Source organism: Homo sapiens, chromosome 2, assembly GCF_000001405.40.
Source record: "Homo sapiens chromosome 2, GRCh38.p14 Primary Assembly".
NCBI lineage: Eukaryota > Metazoa > Chordata > Mammalia > Primates > Hominidae > Homo > Homo sapiens.
In genome coordinates, this window is record NC_000002.12 from 129,192,353 (window position 1) to 129,198,238 (window position 5,886).

The following is a 5,886-nucleotide window of genomic DNA, read 5'->3' on the forward strand; positions in this document are numbered from 1 at the left end:
CATGGTGCGCCCACCCATGCGGATGGGAGAGGAGAAGGAGTTTTTGCAGAGAGGAGGACATAGGGCTGGGGGTAGTAGGGGTGAGTTCCCATCTCAGCCTGGGAAAAGCAGGAGCAGGGCGTCCCTGAGCCCAGGCCTTGAGATGAGTCTGACAGAAACCCTGAAACATCTCCAGTGTCAGGAAAGGTGACCTGTGGACGCACACCCATCACTCAGTCATTCAACTGCCATTATCTTGGGCACCTACTATGTGCCCAGCATTGTGGTGCTCATAATCATCTCTCCTAGGCACACTTGGCTGCCCTCATTCTGTCAAGATTTCCCAAGACTACCCTCAGACCCAGTAATTTACTAAAAGGACCCAAGGACTCAGAAAAAGCTGTTAGCCTCATGCTTACAGTTTATCCCAGCAAAAGGATATGGATTGAAATCCACAGAGGGCAAAGGAAAAGACCAGGAGAGCCAGGCACAAGCATCCAGGTCCCCGAGTCACGTGGGGACAAGTTTCAATATCCCGGCAACACTGTGCGACAACCCGTGTGAAATGCTCCCAGCTGGGGAAGCTCACTGAGCCTTGGAGGCCAGAGTTTTACTGGGGGTCAGTCAGATAGGCATGAGGTGTGGCCCCTGTGTACCTGACAGTAGCAATGCAGACTCCAGCCCCACAAAGGGCTGACTGAAACCGCGTGGCCCAAGGCCTCAGGAAAACAAAAGCAGGCATTTGTCTTAGTCACACTGCTGGCACAAACCATCTGATAAAACTCACTGCTAGCCCAAGGTGCCAGGCACACAAAGGCTCTCTAATCAGGCAAGACTGAGAGGCTATCTCCTGGGAGCCAATCAAGGGGGACAATCCTGAGCACACCCTTCCCTGGAATGAGCAGCGTTCGCCAGCCCATGCCTACTGAGTAAAGCCCTCACTGAATACTTGAGACGACCCATTTCGATCCAGTTTTCCCCTGAGCTCTAGTCTTTGCCACATTTTCCTGTGTTGCTCTGCCTCTGCCCTCCTCCTGGACTTGGGGTTTCCATGTAGGGTTTCTCACCATCAGAATCATTGAATTATGAATCTTGAGGTCTGCTGTGCAATGACCCCCTGTTCAGAAACATTGGCTTAGGATTGGGGTCTTTGACTTTATTAAGTCAGTATCGAGTGAGCACTCACAGTGTGCGAAGAATTGTAAGCACATTTGTTCCAGTAGTGAATACAGTGGACCCCAGGCTTACCCTAGTAGAGAGTATGGTCTGCTGGAGTGGGACGGGGGAGAGTAGCATGTGATGATGGAGGCAGAGACTGGAGTGATATGTCTACAAGCTGAGGAATGCCAAAGATTGTCAGCAACACAGAAGCTGGAAGGGGCAAGGAAGGGTCCTCCCCTGAAGCCTTCAAGAAACGAATGTCCTGTCAACACCTTGGACTTCTAGCCTCTAGAACTATGAAAGAATAAATTTCTGTTGTTTTAAACTACCAAGTCTGTGGTGCTTTAAGGCAGCCCTAGAAATGAACACAGCATGGAATGAAAAGAAAGACAAAGCACTGGGGCACTGCAGGAGGAATGCCTGTGATCTAGCTCAAGAGGCTAAAAATAGGGTCCAGAGGAAGGAAAACCTTCAGAAGGAAGCTTTACACCGTGGAGGTTGTAAGGAAAAGTGCATGCACAGGGGAGAGAATTCTAGGCTTAGGAAAGAGCACATGTAGCAACTTGGAGGTAAGAGAGAGCATGGCTCACTGGAGAAATGAGGAAATGAGGGAGAACAGAGTCATGGCCTGTGAAACAAGCCGGGAGAAAGATGAGGTTGTGGGACTGGAGCCTCATGGGGGCATCACTGAGCTGCGAGCGCAATTCCATGTAAGTGGCCTGGCTGGGTGCACCTGCATGGCTAGCTCACATATTGGGCCTCAGAAATAATTCTTTTGATAGATTTGCTATCATTATCTCCAGTTCACATTTCACCTCCAGATCATGGGAAGACATGACCATAAATAAAGGGGTTGGGAGGTCAGCATCTTTTACAAGAAAATGCCATGACTTTGGTACATGTTTACAACACTGGTGCCTTGCTGGAAATCTAATGCCACCACAGCTGTGATCAATTTTCTTTCCAGTGGACTGCATTGTAGTTTTCCAGGCTGGCACTGAAACCCTCAAAACATCACCGAGGCTGGTGCCATATCTTCCATCCAGATAGGAAGGGTTAGTAACAGGTGTGAAAGCTTCGCTGTCTCCACTTGAACAACAGAGACATTGTTCCATCGTTCTCCACTGTTGCAATCAAGGAAACCTGTCGGTGCCATCCAGGAACATTGCTTGCTTTTCATTTCCCACGGCTTGTCGTCAATTTAGATTTGGGTTTGGGCTTATGATTTGCTAATCCTGTCCTGACACTGCTTTTAAATTTTTTCTTAGACAAAGCATGTTATGGCTGGTCATGTTATATATGTGTTAATTTCACAAACATTTTACCAAACACCTCTCTGCCTGGCCCTGTAAAAGGTGGTGGGGACACCAAGAAGAATGTTATGTGACTCCTGTGCCCAGGAAGCTCAGAGTTCATAGAGGAGAATGATAAGAGAATGAATCTTATTATTAAGTGAGTTAAGTTTATAAGGTAGCAATTAAGATGTGTTCAGGGTATTCTGTGAGCAAAGAGAAGGTGTAGATCAATTGTCAAAAGTAAATGAACTCCCTCCCACTTATTTGAAAGTGTAATTTTAATGGGACATACTTAGAAGATCACAGGGCTTGAGTTTCTAATTATGTACTGTCTGTTCTACAGAATGTCTTTCTTTAAGAAAATTAGCTCATACATGATTCGTGGATAAGATAATGACATCAGTTTAAAGTGGAGTTGCTTTGGTTTGTATGTGATTTTTCCAAGCACTTTATTTTTTTGTTTGTTTGTTAGCTTTTTTTTTTATTGAGATGGAGTCTCACTCTGTCTCCCAGGCTGGAGTGCAATGGCGCAATCTCGGCTCACTGCACCCTCCGCCTCCCGGGTTCAAACGATTCTCCTACCTCAGCCTCTTGAGTAGCTGGGATTACAGGCACAAGCCCATGCCTGACTAATTTGTTGTATTTTTAGTAGAGACGGGATTTTACCACGTTGGTCAGGCTGGTCTCGAACTCCTGACCTCAGGTGATCTGCCGAACTTGGCCTCCCAGAGTGCTGGGATTACAGGCATGAGCCACTGTGCCAAGCCGCAAGCACTTTGTTGTTTTGTGCCACCAAGTAATAGTGGCCGGGCACTTAAGAAATGTGGATGCTGCTAGTTGTGGGGGAATGCACGCTCCACAGGTGGATGTTCTGCCCACTCCTCCTGGCTAAGTTTGGCCACATGCTTTGTCACTGGCATACTTATAGTGCTCTAAGAAACTAACACCAAAGAATGTGTGGGGTCTCCCATCTCTGGTCTCTGTGTGTTTTGCAAGCCAGCAACTGCATTGGCACCAGCATCTTCTGATCACGAGGTTTCCCTTCCGCCTTTGACTCCATGTCTCCAGCCTTGGCCTATCCTTATTCCTGCTGCTATCATACTACCTTCATGCATTCTTCTAAAGTAAAACCTTATTGATTGCAGTTCCTTTATTCCTAGGAAGTTAACATGTCTTTAAAATGCGCTTAGTATTTTCATTAGGATTGCCGTCATCTTTTGTAGGGTCTGGTTACAAAATAGCATAGGTTTTCAGTGGTCTGATCCAATACATTTTCACCTTGCATGTGTGATTTTGCAGAATATGAGGTTTTGAAGAATTACACTGTGTGATGTAGAAAACTATTGCTATTTAACACTCTTGTGCATAGTGTAGTGCAACGTGGTGTTTAGAAGCAGTGACACTGGCATCAGGGAGGCCTGACTTTGAGTTCTATACTCTTCCTTGACTCCGCCCTTCCCCATTGGCTCATGAAATGCTCCTACCAGGTGCCGGGCTTCCAGCTGCAGAGGTTTCCCACCCACAGCCCCTTTATTCTACTCCCACCTTGCCTGGATTTCCCTAGTCCTTTGTGGCCTCAGAAGGGAAACCATATTTCTCCCTGTTCCCATTCTGTGCTCCCCAGAGATGCTGCTTGTCATTTGCTTCCTCGGCCACTCTGACTTCAACCCAGAAGACGGTGGTGGCATGAACACCTTCCAGGCCAGGCCTGTGGGATACAAGACTCTGGCTGAAGTGCTCACTGTCCTCCAGAAGCTGGATGGCTGTGTGGGTTGCATTTCCCTTCCCAGTCATAAAAACTGAAGCTTGCATACGCTTAGCAAACAAAAGTGATTCGGTAAAGAGAATTAGTGTTGGGAGGCTGGAAGAAGTAGCAGGGAGTGCTGCAGCCACCCAGAGGTTGATAACTGGAGGAAGCAGCTGTCATGCCCAGGGATGGGGGAATAAAAGGAAAGAGATTGGATTACAGAGTCTAGAGAAAGGATGCTTCATGCTAGGCTCGGCATCTAAGGAAGGGCATGGCACTGGAATTGCTGGTGCTGACCAGAGGCTGGTCCTAGAATTAGATATGAGACCAATTAGTCCTAATTGACACCTCCATGCTGAAGTCACCTGGGGAGACGTGGTCATGACTGGTGACTTGTCCCTCATTCCAGGTCTTGGAATCCAAGAAGGAGCAAGTGAATGGTGCCATGCTGCCGGAGGGCAGGGGCAGGGGCCTTGTAGGGAGGAGCTCTGCCCATCACTAGGGTGCAGAAACATTTAGCACCTCAGTAAAATCAGCCTCTGGGCAACATTGATCAAATCACTTATATGATTTGATCATATATCATATAACCTATCATATCAACCTTCTATGGCAGGTTGAACCCTATTACCTGGGCATGGTAGGAAAAATGTAGTCCTTAAAATAAGAGTAACTTCTCTGAAGAAGTGGAATGGGTTTTCAATTATAGAATGGATTCCTCTGTGCCTTGGTTTCTGGGAAGCTCAGAGCTAAATTTAGTGTGTAATTCCTCAACTTGTCATCTTTTGAGCTGCTATAGTTGTACACCCCTTCATCTTCCTTGATTCTGATATGTGTTTGGTTTTCATTTTTAGTTGCTCTGCATTTGTGCCTATGTAACTGCCTTAAATCTGGGAATTAGATTCTATATAAATTAGAAGCAAATAAGGAAAATAAATTGAGTTCTAATTTGAATTCAAAATATCTTAGAGACATGTTTGAAAATAAAAACTAGAAAACAACAAAAGATCAGTTCTCTTTACTGGCTATACATAGAAGCAATTGATTCTGCAAACCTTCCACTATAGCCATGCCAAACTATTGGCTATTTCCCAAACATGAATCTTCTCCCTTGGAATGCACACTATTCCCTATTCATCCCATCAAACTAACAATTTCTATTTATATTTTAAGACTGAGCTCAAATGTCACCTCATGCAAGAAGCTCTTCTTGACCAGAGGCTAGGCTAGGTTTTCTGTGTTCTTTGTGGAAACACTTATCACTTTATATTGCAATCATTTCTTAACTCATATGTTTTTCTCATTTACTATAAACTTTTGGAGGAATTATTTGGTCCATCTCTGTATCACTGGTATCTACAACATTGCAGACATTATTATAAATATTATTGGAGGAATTAATTAAATAGCAAACAAATTACCTTGAATAATGTTTCTCAAACTTTTCAAATGATAAATCAATTAATAATATTGAACATCCATGCAAATTACCAATTTTAGATATGTAGTTTAAACATATCTTAAGAATAAAATTAAAACTTTTAAAATTTAAGTGTGGTAATATTTACATATGTGACAGGTATGATATTGATGGAAATTCAACATTGTACCAAATTGTGCATACATGGCTTGATAATGGAGGCATTAATTTAGTGGTTTTACATCCAGCATTTAGCAATTTGATATAACAGGCATTTTTGAATT

General features: G+C 44.5%; 1 annotated feature.

Moving 5' to 3' along the window:
* Positions 272-1,199: an enhancer, noted in NCBI's record as "H3K27ac-H3K4me1 hESC enhancer chr2:129950197-129951124 (GRCh37/hg19 assembly coordinates)". NCBI's record gives its function as "activates a minimal SCP1, AML or CMV promoter by ChIP-STARR-seq in primed H9 embryonic stem cells {active_cell/tissue: H9 hESC(primed)}" and the evidence as "EXISTENCE:reporter gene assay evidence [ECO:0000049][PMID:30033119]".